Source organism: Homo sapiens, chromosome 5 (genome assembly GCF_000001405.40).
Source record: "Homo sapiens chromosome 5, GRCh38.p14 Primary Assembly".
In the NCBI taxonomy this organism is placed as follows: domain Eukaryota; kingdom Metazoa; phylum Chordata; class Mammalia; order Primates; family Hominidae; genus Homo; species Homo sapiens.
In genome coordinates this window covers 3587619-3604201 of record NC_000005.10, presented here as the reverse complement: position 1 = coordinate 3604201, position 16583 = coordinate 3587619, and the positions used below count along the sequence as shown (strand labels likewise).

Sequence of the window (16583 nt, the reverse complement as noted above, 5' to 3'; positions counted from 1 at the left end):
ACTAACAGGGCTTTGTTTTTAGAAGCAAAGGATATTTGTGGATTTTCTATGTCCACTCCAGATTTTTCAGGAGCTGAAGCACCAGGCACGTGGGGTGTTCCCATGGGAGCCTGCACACCTAGATGGCTCCCGTGGCCAGAAAGATGTAAACAAATAGTGCCCAAAGGACAAAAATGCCTTCAGTGCTCCATCACAAATTCATTTTAGCTTTTCACTGGAGAAAAATAATTCTGAGGCTGGCGATCTGATTTCCTTGTATGGAAAACCTAGCTCTCAGGAAGGTGCACAGACCTTTCATGACTCTAGGCCACGCAGCTCAGTAGCCAGGACTCCCAAGGATGAGCACGTGCTGGCCGAGCCACCTCAGCAGCAGTTCTTGTGGGGGTGGGGGGGGTTCCCAAATGTCTTGCATTGACAAAAAAATCAGGAAAGGGTGGAAATAGGGGTGTGCAAAGCAGCAGGCGCCAGCACAGACCATCCAATTTGATTCAGGGAAATAAAGAGCTGAGCTTGCCCAGGGGCAGAGAACTCTACCTGGCCCACCTGAATCCAACCTGCTGTTTCCAGCGTCACCCAGAAGGCATCTCCCAGCACACTGGTTGCTGGAGCAGCATGTCTCTGTGGCTGGGAACACAATTCCTCACCAGAGGCGAAGGGCGTAGCTGGTCAAGTCTCTCTAGAGACACGATTTGGCTAAGGACACAAGATCCATTTGGGCCCAGCAGTCAAAGTAGGCTCTAGGGCCCCATTGCAGAACCTCTGGAATGATGAGCCCAGGGCTCTGATGATCCATGAAGGACTAGGGCCGAGGGCAGATGAGAAACACCTCTCTGATTTAGCAAGGAAGGCACTGGACAGTAAGAGCACCCCACGTAGAGCCCAGTGCCCACTCCCTCCAAATGCCAGTAGCCTAACCTGCAGGCCCGGCACTCCCCCAAAACACACAAAAAGAACCAGTGGGTGCAGCCTTGGAACACAAATTGGTTCCCATCACTACAAATGCAGGCTCGTGCCCACGGAGCCCCAAGGCCCAGCGCCCCCAGAGTTGCCCCCACACCCCAGGAGCGAGATGGGCGCTGCTCAAGGCCGCATTCCGCTTTCGGACCATAGAGGGCGCCTGGAGCACGTCCATTCCGACTGCGGAGCTGCTCCCCGGGGCCCGGCCCGAGTCCGTCCGCCCGCGGTCCACTCCACTCCGCTCCGGCCCGGCTCCTCCCTGCCTCATCCCACCCCGCCCACTCCCCGCTCCCCGACGCGCCCCCGGTGTCCTCGGCCCACTTGCCCTACGCGGCGCCCTTCGAGCCTCCTCTTCGCCGCTTTTCCTCCCGCCTCGGGGCAGGGAGAGGACCTTCCCCTCTACAGGGACCAGGAACGGGGTGGAGGGCTGTAGAAGGATGCGGGCGTCGGGAGCGGGTAGGAGCCGTGGACTGGCACCTCCTAGTCCTAACGCGAGCCTCCCTCTTTCCTGGAACCTCTGAAAAGACACCAGCGCCCCGACTTTCCCCCTCGCTTCGGCCATGCACGGAGTCCCCACGCGCAGCACTGGCGCCAGTGGGTCTCGAGCAAGCCGGGAAGGGCGGGTCACAGGCTGGGGGTGCGAGCGGAGGACGGCCGCTCTGACCTCGGGACTCGGCTCTGACTTCGGGACTCGGCCCTGTCCCCACTAGACCGTTTTTCCCGGCAGCCCACATCCTCGCTGGCAGTTTTGGAAATGTTTGCTGGCTCAGTTTTCACGCATTCAACGCTGAGTCGCCTGCGCCCTGAAGGCCCCGCGCCGGGTCCGCAAAGCCTCCTGAAGGTGCCTGCTGCGGCGCGTGGCGCGCGTCCCGCTCCGAACCCACTGATGCTGATGTCCCGGATCCGCAGCGATGTCCAGGCTCCTAGGCCTTTCCCCACTCGCGCGCGCCCGAGGCCAGCCCCGCTGCGAGTGTTTCCCAACATCGCTGCTCCCAGCTGCCTCCCCGCTGCCCGGCCGCGGCCATCTAAGGGCAATTTGCTCTGGACTCCCGCGGTGCGCGCGCCTGAGGGCAAAGGACGCAGTCCGTGGAGCCCAAGTGTAAAGGGGCTTCCCTGGGAGACCAAAGCCACCTCCTCTTTCTCGCTTCCCACCACAGCCTCAGCCCCTCGTTCACACCTCACACCGCAGAGAAGCCCCGCACCGCATCCCGGCTGGCCCATCTGTGGAGTTTTAAAGAGCCTTCCAATTTCTTCCCGTGTTTGATTTAACCGAATCACTAAAAATACATGCAAAGCGATACTCCATTATTTTCACACTCAACTCAGAAAACGACCAGGCGCCACGATGCGCCGTTGAGACAACTAGTTGTAAACTGGTTTCTAATCCGAAGTTCTCCTCTGGGGTCGCAATAAAAATTCTTTTTCCTCTGTTTTTACCGACGTTATAAAATCGTTTTGTAAAACTGCCTCAAATTGAACTTATTTATGTCCTGAGAAAATTATGTCTCAGAAAAATGTTCGTGAAAGCAATTGAACTGCCAGCAAGAAACTGCCACAGTGACAATATTTAAAAATTCAACAACAACCACAAACAACGAAGAGATGTTTAAAGCACCTGCGTCTTGGGTGGCAACAGTCTCTAAAGGCCCCCATTGAGAAGCCCATCTCCCCCAGCCACAGACCCTTGGGTCCCACCCAGGGTTCCAGGATCCCTGTATCCCCCACTTCTCTCTCTCTGTCTCTGTTTCTGCCACACAGACACTCACACACACACATTCACACACAAACACACACTCACACACACGCTGGACAGGCACACAGCAGCAGGAGCGGGGAGGGGGTGTCATTTCATTTAGTTTATTAGACAAAAATATATGATTTAGACAAGTTCGCTGACGCGCTATTTACAATCTGAAACCACTCTATATACAGAAAAGGGGGGAAAGAGACACAAGCACGTGGGGGCATTTACCGAACCCGATAATCGCAGCCACTGGAGCCGCCGGCAGAGGCCTGGCCACCTGGACGCGAGCTCGGGACCGAAGAAGCCCCTTTCTGCAGAAAGCGACGGATGCGAGTCCTTGACGTCGTTGTCATATTTGTCCTTTACACCAGTCTGAAATATTTGTCTTAATTCCTCCCACATTCCCTCCCTCCCCAACTCCTCCCCCCTCCCCCCCGCAAAAGTAAAAGAAGACCCTTAATCAGGCGGACGGGAGGGCTGCTAGGATCCGCGGCGTTCCCTCCTGCGGGGCCAGAGAGCTGCATGGGAAACACAGCGAGACAAGAAGACAGGGGCACTGTGAGTGGGGGACGCAGCGCCGGGCGACGCCGGTTCCAGTAGCGGAGCCCTGGGGGCGGGGTCGACAGCCAGCGCGGCTCCCGGCTGGGGAGAAACTCCAGTCTCCTCGGCTCGCCCGGCGCCCAGGGCTGGCGGGGAGCGCTCCTTCAACTAGGACTGCGCGACCCCCACCGCCACCCAGCCAGCTCCGCCCGGGTCCCGACCACTCCTCCTCCCCCCTCCCCACCGCCTTCTCCCATAGCAAAAGCAAACAGCACTCACTTGTCGCGTACCGGCTGGAAGGGCGACTTTAACTGCTGTGCCGGCGAATCTGGCCTGGGGACGAGGTCTCTCTCTGCGAGAGATCGGAAGAGGCAGAGTTAGGACGGAGAGACGGGCGGGAGAGGTCCCAGGCCTCCTTCCCACCAACTTCTGCCGGCTGCCCAGGCAGATTCGCCGAAAAACGTCACCCCTCACCCCACCACCACCCCGTAGCAGGCCCGCCGGTAGGGCAAAGCTCTCTTGGGAGAGCCCTAGGGCCTTGTCTGGCTTTCTAAATTGAAGCAGGGATTAAGCGCAGCCCCAGGGCTCAGCGGCCACTGCCTGGTACCCTCCCGGCTCATGCTGCACCCCACGCTACCACACCTAGCCAGGCCTCTGCATTCCCAGCTAGGGGACAGGTGGACGCGGCCTGGAGCTGTACCTGGGAGCGTGGGGCTGCTGCGGACCGAGGCCTTGTCTCCATTGAGTGCCCCCGGGGCAATAGCGACCGGCGGCTGCGGTGGTGGAGGTGCAGGAAGGTGAGGGCCATGGGGCGCGGCGTGGGGAGCGCCAACGCCCAGGAAGGAGCGCATGTTGAGCAGGGAGCCCTGTGCGAGGAATGCGCTGTTGGTCCAGTTGGAGAACTTGCCGATGTGGCAGGTGTACAGTCCGTGGCTAGGCAGGAAGGCGGGGTGTTGCAGCGGCGCCCCGGCGGAGGGCCCGTGCGCGCCGGGGTGGCCCGCGGGTGGTGGTGGCGAAGCCTTGGGCGCACCGTCGGGGCTCGTGGCTGTCTCCGCCAGCGACCAGATCTTGGGCTTGCCGTGCGGCGCACCCTGCAGGCCGCCCGCTGCAGCGCCGGGGCTCAGCAGGCGCGTGCTGCCCGGCTCTGGGGCCTCCTTTGCCAGGCCCAAGGGCGAGTCCTGGGGCTTGAGAACGTCGGCTGCTGCCAGCGGCGAGCCTTGGTCCCGGGCAAGAGCAGAAGGGGCTGCGGGCGCGTGCGGAGCCTCGGCCTTGTCCTCGTCATCCTCGTTGCTCTGGTCGCCATCGTGCTCGTCGATCTTGTCAATGTCGATGCTTTCCAGGTCGATCTCCTCGTCGTCCTCGGCCTTCTCCGGGTCGCCCTCGGTGTCGCTGCCGAAGAGCGCTCCATCTTCCTGGTCCTTGCTGCGCGCTCCCCATGTCACCTTGTTCTCCTTCTTGAGGCGCCGGCGCGCGTTGGCGAACCAGGTGGAGACCTGCGTGAGGGTCATCTTGGTGATGATGGCCAGCATGATCTTCTCGCCCTTGGTGGGGTAGGGATTCTTGCGGTGCTCGTTGAGCCAGGCCTTGAGCGTGCTGGTGCTCTCGCGGGTGGCGTTCTTGGGCCGCCCGGGGTCCCCGTATTGGAACTGGCCGTAGGGGTAATAAGCCGGCGCCGTGTGGGCTGCGAAGGTGGCGGGGTGCACCCCAGGGTTGTCCTTCAGTTCATACTGCGAGCCCTGAAGCCACAGGGCAGATCCATCGAGGAGAGAGAGGAGGGAAGTGGAGAGAGAAAGGGAGAGAGAGAGAGAGACATGAGTCCCCAAGACGGGAGAGTGGGAAGCAGCCGCTTCAATGGACTCGAGGGCCTCCCAGGCGCTTTGCGGGGCTCTCCTGTGCTGGGCAGATCAGGAAGTCACCCCCAGTTCACTGCTGGGGAGAAGGGGAGCCAGGACCATGAGCTGACTTCAGGAACTGCCCTTTCACCGACAGTGGAGATCGTTTTTGCCACTCTAGAAAAGTTCCACAAACAGTGCACTCTCCAGAAGAGCACAACAGAGGCCGCGGCCCCTGCAAGTTCCCTAGGCGACCCCTGTCCCCACCACCAACCGCTGGAGAAACCTGCATTTCCAAGTTTATCTTTCACTAGCTAGAGGGAAAAACCTTTCAACTGAGCTGATAAAGCCATTTCTCCAAACGTAAAGGGCCCAGAGCCCAAGCCTCCTCTCTGCCACCCAGAGGGGGCTCAATCAAAATAAACCATCCCGGGTTTTCTACCGGTCTAAATCCGCCAGCAATTTAAAACGAAAGCACAGTCCTTTGCCTTCCAAATTAATCTGCATATAATGGTTTACCCACATTAAAAGGTCTTTAGAGGTGACAGGTAATTTAAAATTTTAATCCCGGCCATCATCGACAACAATAACAAAAACACCATTTTTTTTTTTAATACAAAAGGAAGGCTTAGCCTGTAAAATATTAACGCAAGGGCTGGGAGCCACCGGCGGCCAGGAGGGGAACCGGTTCAGTATCCTAGGCCTCTTCTCAGTTACTTCATCTCTTAAGTTTGACTTTGATCTGGAGGGAGCAAACACTAGCTGTTTGCAGGCATTTAGAGGCGCTGATTTATTTGCAATCGATATTCTTTTTATAATCAGTAGTAAAACACAGCAAGTCAAATTATCCCATCAGGTTTTTTGGTAAATAACATTTTATCTTTCTAACAACCTCATTAGGCCTCATTATTACCATAAATTGCGCAGACAGACATTCAAATACAATTTTATCTTTTGACTTCCAAACACCCAATTATAATGGCTTGGAAACCTAGGCCTAGAATCAGGGTTTGGGTTTGAGTTTACTCTCTCAGAACCAGTGGGAGAGCTGGAGAAACACACACCTTTTGGGTGGGAATAATTTTTACATATTATCCCTCTAGGTGGGAAAAACAACTCAGAACAGCAAACATCTCCCTTCCCCAGCTCTCCACAAAGGGTGCAGGTCCTCACACTGAAGCTCTCTCCCTCCCCCGCAAACACAGGCAGGGTTCCCAAATGGCACACAACTGCATTCGCAATTTCTGTAAAAAATATTCATCCTCTGAAAAAATGGTCTAGTTGCAATGTTAGCAAAGGGAGTTCCGGACTCTGAGAAAGTTGTAAAGACCAGAAGATTTCTTGGACTAATTAGTTTGGTGACTGAGGCCGCAGAGAAAACATTTCTGCGGCTAGATTTCGTTTTTGCCCAATCGTTCCAAAATGTACTTTGCGCTTTTCTAATTATTTTGGTTGTAATTGTAAAGAAGACGTTTCAGCCTCGTCTCCACTGGGAATTCTTTTTGAAAGGACACCTTGTAAATCTCTCATCGCGTCCCGGCCTCCCCGCCGCCTGAACAAAATGGGGGCTGATCTTTTTCGATAGTAAGAGACCTGAAAGGCAGCCGGGCCGCTTTCTTTCAAAACTACAAGAAAAGTTACAGGGAAACCCGCTCTTTGCTTGTGCACACTTGAGGGGCGTTTACTCCCCGCTTCTCCTGCGGGGAGCGGGGAGATATCGCGGGTGCTTGGAAATTGCTTTATCCCGCGGGCAGCGACCCAGGAGGGGGCTGCCTCCCAGGGCCCCGCGCCCGCCGCACAATTCACCAGCCGTCCGAAGTTTAAGCACCGACCTTGCAGTCAGACCAAGGAAAATGGATGATTTGGACCGGCAGACAGGCCAATGCCCCCGCGGAGAATTAAGTGTGCAGCCGCCTGCCCCGACATCTAACGCCCACTGGGACGGGAGACTAAGAGGACACCATTTGTTTTAAGCCAAGGGACACTGTTTTCTTTAATCCTCCATTATGTAACGCAGGAAGAAAAGTGCTTTTCTTTCTGTGCAAATGAAATGAAAACTTGGGCAACTTACAAAAGTAAAATCAAACACCGTTTCAGACACCAGCACATTACTGCAACTTAATTTTTGTTTAATCTCAAATTCGCACTCACGCCGTGGAGAGACCTCTCCATCCCTTTGGACCTCTATTGTTAAGATTATTTTGATTGACTCTACCAGGCTTAGAAGGGGTCTGTCTGGCAAACTCGGATACAACTATCTCGGAGCTGCTAAAGAGGGAGAAAACCAAGTTTTCCAGACTCGGTTCGAAAACTAAAGAGGCCGCGCGAGTGGAACCCGCGGCCAGGAAGGGAAGTCCTGCTACGCTACGCCGGGCCGACCTGCAGGAACCCCGTGGGCCTGCCCGGGCGCCCTGGCCGAGCCAGGCGAGTTTGCCCCCGACCTCCAGCGCGGGCACCGCTCCACGGGCCTGCTTCTGCGGCCTCTCTGAATTCACTCGCTACCCGCTCCCTGGCCCGGGCCTTCCGCTTTCCCAGGCCGAGATGGCCCAGCCGTCACCCGCCCGGCCTCCCAGCCCTCTTGCGTCCCCGGGGGCCGCGGCCTCGGCCACCGGGAACCTGCCCCCGGACCTTTCTAGTTCCTCTTCCGGACCAGGTCCACCCGTAGTCTCTCCCTCCCGGGCGACCCGCCACCCTTGCCCTGGCGCGGGTGAGACAGAGGAGAAGCGGGGGAGGCCGGGCGCACTCACCATCTGCGAGAAGAGGCTGAGATCCGCGGCGTAGGGCAGGAAGGCGCTGTAGTTGGGCGCGCCCGCGTACGGCCCCGCCGCCGCGTACATGCCCAGCACCGAGGTGACTGCAGCCGCGCCTGCCCCGCCGCCCAGCTCCGCGGCCCCCGGTCGGCCCGACGAGGCGGCGGCAGCCGCCGCAGCGGCCGCGGCCAGCACCCCCGGGCGCTCGCCGCCGTAGGCGCCCGGCCCCGCGGCGCTCAGGTACTGCGGGTAGCCCAGCTGCGGGAAGGACATGTCCGCGGACTCGGCGACCGCCGCAGCGGGCGAGTATTAAAGGCGCGGGGAGGGAGGCGGAGGCCGGCCGGAGGGGGTTGCAGGGGGCGCCGCGAGGGGTCTAGGGAGGAGCGGGCGGCCGGCCGGGCGCGCTCGGGCGGGCCGGGAGATGGAGGCCGGTCGCGGCTCCTCTGCCCGGTGCTCGCAGGCGCCCGGCTCCCGGCTGCGCCCGGATCCGCAATCGCGCGCCGACTGCGGCGGCCGCCCTCCGCTCGGCGGCGGGGCTTTCAGACACAATTTGAAGTTGATGCTTTGATTGGCATCCCCTTGAGCGCAGGCCCCGCCCCTGGCTCCCCTCCCGCCCCCTCCCTGCCTCCCGCCCGCCCTCGCCGGCCGCTCCCGCCCCTCCCGCGAGCACGTGGTGCCCCGTGCCGGCCCGGCCAGCTACTCTCGCGGTGGGCGCGCGCGTCGGGGCGGCGGGGTGTGGGCCCGGAGGCCGTGGGCTCCTTCCCGACCAGCCCCCGCAGCTGTCTGACAACCTGTCGACACGGGTTTACAGCTGTCTGACACCGGGTTTGCAGTTTCGCGGCCGAGGTGTGTCCCCTTTTTAACAAAAACAACTTGGCGCCTGCTTTTCTACTGTTTGGGCAGCGGGGAAGGGGCCGGCGGCCTGGACGCTGGTGACAGCGAGGGGGGAGCGGCCTCTCCCCCGAGTCCCGCGCGGCCGGGGCCTCCAGGGGACATCTTTGGCAGAAGTGCACCCGGACGCTCTCCGCGAGCCACTGAACCGGCGTGGCGTGACACCCCCGACTCCAGATGCGGGTTCCCGTGGGCCCCTACTGGGTAGTAACCGATCGTCTGCCAATGACCGGCCTCGCCGCCCTTGGGGAAGCGGGGAGCGGCCGAGCTCTGCGGGCTCTTTCAATTGTGCAAACTTTGAGCGAGGGCAAATCCCGCGGAGAAGTCGCCAGCTCGGGGGAAGCAGGCGCAGTCGGCGCCGCGGGTTCTCGGAGGGAGGGGTGGGGGAGACGCGGGGGGAGGGGCTTTCTCTTCACCCAGAAAGCCCCCTGGCAGCCGGAGGGAAACATCCCCCGCGCCCCCGCGAAGGGGGAAGACGGTGTGGCCTGGACGCCCGGTTTGTCCACCAGGTGTGCAGAGGCAGACAGGAAACTTGTGTGGAACGCGCGAACCCGAGTCGGCGCCGCCGCCAGACCGGCAACGGAGCGGCCTCTTGGGTCCAAGTCCCGCGTCCCTCTTCTCCCTGCGTCTCCCCTCTCCATCCTCAGCCTCGTCGGGCTACAGGACGCGGCCAGGCGCGGCGCACTTGAGATGGGCTCCGTTTCGCCGCGGCCCTGGCCGTGCGGCTCCCGGGAGAAGATGCCAAGTGCACGGGCCTCCTCGCCTCCCTGAGCCTGGGAAGGCGCTGGCAGGCCACTTCTGCGCCTCGTGGCTGGAGAGCTCCGGACGGTGCCGTGGGGAACCGGGTACCAGTCCCGGCTCCCGGGGCCACTTTGCGAACCACCTCCTACGCAGAGACGGGGCCGGGAGTTCACCCCGCTGCGGCTCTCCAGCACACCGGACTCCGCGGGAATTTCAGCAGCGCACTCTGGCGTCTTCTCGGCTTTAGGCCGGGTTGGGGCTACGGGATGAAGGCGGCCATCGGGCCAGAGTCGGCATGCTGTTCTGCTGGTGGTTTGAGCCACCCGTATCCTGGACACCGGCCAGGCGGTCCCTTCACCCCCTGCCTCGCTTCCCTCTCTTCACGGAGCCTCGAGGCCCAGGGACTTCAGCAGCATCAGGAGGGGCTCCGGTTTTCCGGGCCTGAGGACAGACACTGAGACATCGCCTATAATTAGCAACAATAATGCCCGTGATGGTAGTAATTACTAATAACCAGCTCCGACATCGGGCTTGATTTTTCCCTGCTCTGAGTCAGATTGTCTTGCTAGTCATGCTGCTTCCCGCGCTCAATTCGCCCCTCCACACTCCAGGATCCGCCTACAACCTCCAGGGTTCCTTTCCTGCTTTTACATAGATTCCGGGCTGGGTTTGTGGGGACGCCGAGGGTTGGTGGGGAGTGGATTCTTGGTGACACAAATCCGGGAAGCCCCTAACTGCAGCTTTTTCCTGTTCCCCAGCCTACCACCAGACACCTTCTAACCCTAAGACAGATTTCCGATCTTCAACCTCCTCTCCTCTATACCCAAAACAAATCCATCCATTGCCTGTGACTCACTGTGTGAGAAGTGGGCCAGTCCCACCCACCCCTGTCCTGTTCAGCAAACTACAGTGTCACATTTCAGGTTGACAGGGGAGATACGCCCTCTTGAGTGACCTGGAGAATGAGGTGGGATGTAAGTCCAGGGACACTTCTCAGCCTTGGGATTCAGCTACAGCTTATCTGCCTCCATCCAACCCACTGAGCACCACCGCCCACCCCACCCGCAAGCCTCAGGTCTCTCTGCAGCTGGCAGAGCTCTGTGGGGAGGCAGGAATAGGGGAGTGGAGGCTTCATCCTAACTCAACCAGCCCACTCCTCTGTGCCCCGGCTGCATCACCTCCATTGGCATCACATCACAAAGTGATTGCAGGCTCCTCAAAACACCAGGGAGCTGGGTGGGGAGGAGCTGGGTGGGGAGGACCTGGCTGGGCCCCACCTGGAGACTCCCCTGTGAATCCTGCCTGAGGACTGCACAGTTCCTGGGGAAGCGGCACTAGCAAAGCTGGGTAACTTGCTCCCTGGAGAGCCCTGCAAAGGTGCAGAAGGGGAGATTGTGGTCTATTCTCTGCCCAAGGCCAGGGCCTGAGGCTGCACTCCAGGTCCCTCGCCTAAAACCAATTCTAGGAAGTCCTTTCTAGGAAGCTCTAGCAGAGCCTGGCAGGCCCTGACTCACCTCCTCTCTTCTTTCTCCTTGGCCCTTGTCCCCAAAACTTTCACCTAGGATACTAGGAAGCAGGGTAGACTGAGAGAAAGAGAGAGAGAATTGCCACCAAAGCATCCCATCAGAGAGGGGGAGGGGCGGAGAAGGAGCTAGAATCTCCTGGCTCAGCCCCTCCTGGTAGAGTTTCCTCCCACTCGTTCTGCCACTCATTTTCAGCAGCAAATGTTTCAGTGGGGCCCAGGGCTTCATGGCCTCAGATGCTGGAGCAGGCAGAAGGGCTGTGCGTCTGGAATCCGTGGGCCTGATTTGAACGTCCTTTTAAAAATGTCGTGAGAAGGTCTAAAACTTTCCCTCAAAGAGACTGCCCCTGCCGCTGCCCGGACTCAGCATCACTGGCATCTAGGACCATCCCTCTGGTGGCCCTAGGGGTGCCAGGCAAAGGCGATGGACATTGGAATGGGAGGTTGTGTGGTTCCCTCTGCTTGGCCTTCGAAACCGACGCCCCAGCTGTGAGGCGCTGGACCTCTGAGGCAGGAGAGAGCCACTTTGTTGGCCCCTCAGCCACTTTTCCTGCCTCCAAAGGGGGTGGCTGAGGCAGGCCCTGCCGCTGCTCCGGAAGTTGCTCCTGGCGGAGCTGGCCGCACCCGGTGGCTGCCCCCTGGTCACTGTGCCAGAGACAAAGACGAGGAGCCTGACAAAACCAGGTCTAGGGGTCGCTGCGCAGCGGAATCGGAGCTCCTCCTGCTTAGCGCCGGGGATCCAGTCCGGAAGCCCTTGGGCCCCAGTGCTCCGGGGACCCAAGGCACGTGGCCCAGAAGGCTGGCAAGACCCCGCGAAGCTCGGCAATGGGGGGTGACTGGGACACCCCTGCTGGGAAGCTAGGACCTTCAGCGCGTCCAGGGCTGGGACAGATGCAGGCCTCCGGCTGCAGCGGCATGGGCAGAGAGCGCGCGTGTCTCGGGGAGCGCAGGGGGCAGGCTGTGGGGGTGGGGGTTGGGCGGGGAGGAGAGGAAAGGCCCAGAGGCGGTAGTGGAGGGGGACGGGCGTTGGTGTGCAACTGCAGTTTAAGCTAACTTGATTAAGCTGGTGTTAAGGCTTCATGGAAAGTTTACTTGCAAGGTGCTGCTGTTGTTATCATTATTATTATGAGTCAGTTTTCTAAATGGGAGGGATTTTTTATTCCTGGAGAAGATCGTTTCCCTTTTCTCTCTCCCAACCCTCGGTGAGGATTCCACCCGCCCTGCCCCACCCTCCTGGGGCATATTTACATCAGGACAAGATTAAACATACCCAACAGCTTCCTAATTTACAATTTTATTTCTTGGGAAACAGTTCGCTGGTCTTGAAGCTCTGCAGTCCGGGGGTCGCTAAGGAAGAGGAGGATGCTCGTGGGGACGCATCACTCCCGGAAGCCGTCTGTGGGACCAGCCTTTGGCGCCGAGAACCAGGCGACACAGACCTGCCGCGGGATGCAACGGGTGGCGCGGCCCTGGCCTCCTGCCTTCACAATGGCCACTGTCAGCTCCAGATGGCGGGGCTCTGCGCTGGGCCGCGGCTCGGTGGCGACGGAGGCGGCCTGACCTGGCGCCGCGCCCCGACTCGCGCGCAGACTTAGGAGTCTGCTTAAAAACGCACTAGGACTTCGCACCGTCCCTCAGCAGCAGCTGGGAGGCCACCCAAGTCGGCGACATTGAGGCAATAGTCAGACAGTCCTCAGCTGTTGAGACCCCCGGTGGGTCCGGCCGCTGCGACTCGATGGTTCCCTAGGCTCCGACCCCTGTGTCCAGTCTGCGCTTTCCTGCCACGCCAGGCAGGGACCGGTGGCCCCTGGGGACCAAGAATAGTCTACAATGAGCGCCCCGAGGGTGCAGGGCTGCAGGGACCCAGTGGCGAGCGGAGCTGAGTTGGGCAGGCGGGAGGAGTCGACTCGAGCCGCTCCAAGGAAACCCCAGAAGGAAACGCCCAGAAGCGAAGGACGCAGGACGGTCGCAGGCTGCGGGGAGTGCCCCCCGCGGCAAGCATCGCGGAACCAGGTCCTCAGCAGCGTGGGGACACCACCCGGGAACGCGGCGGGCGGACCAAGGGCGACCCAGGCCCTAAAGCTGCGGCACTGGGCCCGTATTTCCCACAAACGCAGGGCAGAGGAATGGACCGCAGTGGCCTGGCCTGGAGTGCCGCTACGACGCCGTCCCCAGTGTCGAAGGAAGTGAATTACATGCGTGTGCACACACGTAAATATTTTATAAACCTCCCCTTAATTAACCAGATCATTTCCATTATGCCTCCAATATGAACAACAGCAGCGGTGTGAGAGTTCTCAGGGCTTCTTATTTGATGTCACCAGACGGTTGCTCGGGGGCAGAGGCACCATCGCCGTGCCAGCTGCACTTGTATTTATTTGTTTTTCTGCCTTGTTCCTGTAGGGCTCCATTATGCGGTTTTTAATTAGTTTGTGTTTGTATTTCACCCGTCCCAAATCAATGCCATCCCGAAGCAAGGCGATGTAAATTCTCTCAGTACAGGTGTAGCTGCCTGCGCGGGTACACCGGCAAACGCGTGTCTGACAAATGAAAGCGGGGCCGCTGCGCAGCCGACTGTCAGCTCTCGGCAGCGGAGAGGCGCGGATCAAAGCCAGCGGGACTTCTGCGCCCCCGTGAGCGCCGTCGTGGCTGCGGCTCCTAATGTCATTAGAGGAGGCCGGGCTGCGCACGGCGTGAGGAACAAAGTGACTTTTCATTTTGCTCAGGTCCTCTGGTCTTTGGGCCAGCGCTGGCCTCAGAATCGCCTCCCGCTTGGGGCCTATCGGATGCAGCTGAAACCGCAGTGGCTCCCGCCAGGATCCCTGGCTGTGCGCACCCGCACCCGCACCCGCACCCGCAGTGACCCAGAGCCCTGGGATCACTGTGGCTTCCCAACGGGTCCCGCTAACCTTAACCCGCAGCCTTAAGCTGAAACTGCCCTGGAATCTCTAGACAGGAGACATCCCCTCTCCGTGTTGTGTTTGCATCTCCGCCTTCTTGAAATGACCTCTGTGGAGCGCGTGTGTATCTGTTCTTCCAGCCATGGGGAATTCTTTTAAAGCTTTCTTTTTTTGTCAGGAGCAAGAGATAGCTCATCTTTAACTAGGCCACATAGAAATTATGATTCAACAGCAGTGTATATTTAATTAGAGTAATCTCACTTGAATTTAATTACCTAATGAATTATTTGTTTAAAAGGTAGAACGTCTTGTTTGCGAAGTACCATGCAGACCTCCGATAAGAATTTCTGTTACGAGGACGTTACAGTTTAAGAGCAGGCATGTGTAAGGTTTCTATTTTAACTCTTTGAGTATGTGACTGTTACTGTACACTCCAACAAAAACTAAGATGGTGGGTACAGTCTGGTGGGTAGAGTCCGGAGGGCAGTGGGCATGACCCTGGCCACACAGAGGTGCGCTCCTGTTATGTACACGTGTGTGCCCAAGTCGCTTTGGAAATTAATATCCTTTGACTGTCATGTGAGTCGAGTTTATCTTAAAACTTATTTCATGTTGCTTTCAGTGCCATTTTTTCCCTCCTGGTGCAAGTCAGGACAGTTCTCTACTAGTGAACTCATTTTATGAAAGTGTTTAAAACAAAATAATGCATCCTTCAGAAGACTCCAGTCAAGCCACCGAGTCCCACGCACTCCTTGAGCCTCTCCCATCCTAGCTCCTCTTGATCCCTGAGGCATTCACACTACCAACAAGAAGTCTGTCAGGGAGTTGTTGTTTTGTTTGTTTGTTTGTTGTTTGTTTTAACTTACAGCAATGGGAGGTACCACATCCCAGACTTTGACCTAAACTCTTAAGTCTTAAACTGTGGAGCAACCTCATTTCCTCTTGGTTTCCAAAAGCAAGAACCACTAACTCCAAGCCATGACAACTTTTGAGAGGCTCCAAAGGTAATTTGTCTCCACACAATGCCAACAACTGGTGCATCTAATGCAACTTTAAGAATTTTCTATCACTGCTGCATGATGAAATGCCAGCAGGGAAACTTACATAGGGGTTTAGGGAGGGGGCAGAGAGCATTTCACCCTCTTCCTGAAAAGAAGATAGGAAATAAGAAGAACTCAAATCAACTTGGTTGAATTCCACTGTCATTTTCATTAATATTTCAATAATCAAATAATTTTTTTAATTGTAAGCTCATGAACTATTGTCAGATAAATATCAAATATTATTAGTATAGTGTTCAATCAAGTAGGAAGGGGTTTAGAAAATGCAACAAGTTGATAAAAATGATTGACTTTTTATTTCTTTTTAGAATTCCTGACTCTTATCATAACTGTGCATTTTGAAATTGATGTTCTAACAACCAATAGTGGTTAAAATATACTATCCACTTAATTACATTCAATTATGGTTATAGTAGCATGTCTCATTCAAAGAACCAGATCTACATGGATGCATACTTAAAACTTATTTATCAATTTACTTCACATATTCTTCCCAATAACAACAGACAGTAACGACCAGAGAGGAAGTAAGATACTAGCTTAGAAAGGAAAATACATTTCCCAGAGCTGAGCAAATCCAGAGAAGATTTCAGGGTAAAACCCTCAAAGGATTTATATGTGTGTGATGGAAGCAGGGGAAAGTACTAAATGGTGTATTTGTGTTTGATGTTTCAAAAATATTTAAAATTTAGACCAGTGTTCTGTCTCCAATGACTTCATATCAGCCCTCAACCACTTATACATTATTAAAGATAAAAGCCCACCTACTACAAATCTCTTTAAAAATCCACTGACAAATATATGCCCAAAAAACACCTCCCAAGCAGAAAGCATAGCACATTTCAGGTTTTTAATGAACGTGTGCAACAGCAGACCTCCTGGGCCCATAGGTTAAAATCTGTTCATCAGACTTTAGGGACACCAGCTCAACAGCACAGCGTAGTGTCTCAAAGCCTAACAGACATTGGAAGTTCAGGGAAAGTTTCTGGGAAGTTCTGAAGACACTTACAGTCTACCAGCATATTCCAAGACCACTGTTATAGAAAAATCTGGGGTATGAAATGAGTCTAAGGAGGAAAACTTAAAATATCCCTTGAACCATGGGTCCCATATCTGTTCTTGCTCTGACTTTGCCTCTTACATAACTGTCACCCAACATCATCTCCAGAGCTGTACCCTAGTCTGGGGTTCTTAGCCAGGCCCCCACCACTCCCATCCTCTCTTTTGTAGGACATGAAGAAAGGCCTCCGGACCTTCCAATCTTACACCAGCTTTGGGTGCTGTGTGAGTGCATGCATGCTTGTGAAAGGTGAAAATACCATGGGGGTGGAAGAGAAGAGAGGAAGAAGAGGAAACATTTTCTTCTCCCAGACACATTTCCAGTGGGGAATTTAGCCCCTAGAACATAATACACCTGTGACCAAGAGGAGCCCAATCTAGGCAAAATCCCCAGATCGGGAAGTTCCTCTTCTCAGTCCTCTGCATTCCTCCAGATGCCCTTCCCAAACCCCCCTATTTTAGAGCCCGCCCTAAAGGTCCTCATGCTGATGGCAGGCTGCCTGGGTTGACCTTCAATGCCACCTATGACCCATTTTTGGGCTCCCGCCACCTCCAGTGAAGATTGATGGGGCCTGTGGTCCATTCT

The 16583-nt window shown here is 56.8% G+C and overlaps 1 protein-coding gene across 1 annotated transcript, besides 4 other annotated features; it reads right to left on the bottom strand.

The window, feature by feature from the left end:
* IRX1 (iroquois homeobox 1) lies at positions 2799 to 8370 on the bottom strand. The gene is made up of 4 exons (NM_024337.4): positions 7821 to 8370; positions 3942 to 4977; positions 3521 to 3593; positions 2799 to 3219 (listed from the first exon to the last, which is right to left on the bottom strand). The coding sequence occupies exons 1-4, from the start codon at positions 8094 to 8096 to the stop codon at positions 3162 to 3164; spliced, it is 1443 nt and encodes a 480-aa protein (NP_077313.3). The 5' UTR covers positions 8097 to 8370; the 3' UTR covers positions 2799 to 3161.
* Positions 2859 to 3519: an enhancer, noted in NCBI's record as "H3K4me1 hESC enhancer chr5:3600797-3601457 (GRCh37/hg19 assembly coordinates)". NCBI's record gives its function as "activates a minimal SCP1, AML or CMV promoter by ChIP-STARR-seq in primed H9 embryonic stem cells {active_cell/tissue: H9 hESC(primed)}" and the evidence as "EXISTENCE:reporter gene assay evidence [ECO:0000049][PMID:30033119]".
* Positions 4183 to 4844: an enhancer, noted in NCBI's record as "H3K27ac-H3K4me1 hESC enhancer chr5:3599472-3600133 (GRCh37/hg19 assembly coordinates)". NCBI's record gives its function as "activates a minimal SCP1, AML or CMV promoter by ChIP-STARR-seq in naive H9 embryonic stem cells {active_cell/tissue: H9 hESC(naive)}" and the evidence as "EXISTENCE:reporter gene assay evidence [ECO:0000049][PMID:30033119]".
* Positions 4845 to 5507: an enhancer, noted in NCBI's record as "H3K4me1 hESC enhancer chr5:3598809-3599471 (GRCh37/hg19 assembly coordinates)". NCBI's record gives its function as "activates a minimal SCP1, AML or CMV promoter by ChIP-STARR-seq in naive H9 embryonic stem cells {active_cell/tissue: H9 hESC(naive)}" and the evidence as "EXISTENCE:reporter gene assay evidence [ECO:0000049][PMID:30033119]".
* Positions 8373 to 8667: a silencer, noted in NCBI's record as "tiled region #3294; HepG2 Repressive DNase matched - State 9:DNaseU". NCBI's record gives its function as "represses a minimal TATA promoter and a strong SV40 promoter by Sharpr-MPRA in HepG2 cells {active_cell/tissue: HepG2}" and the evidence as "EXISTENCE:reporter gene assay evidence [ECO:0000049][PMID:27701403]".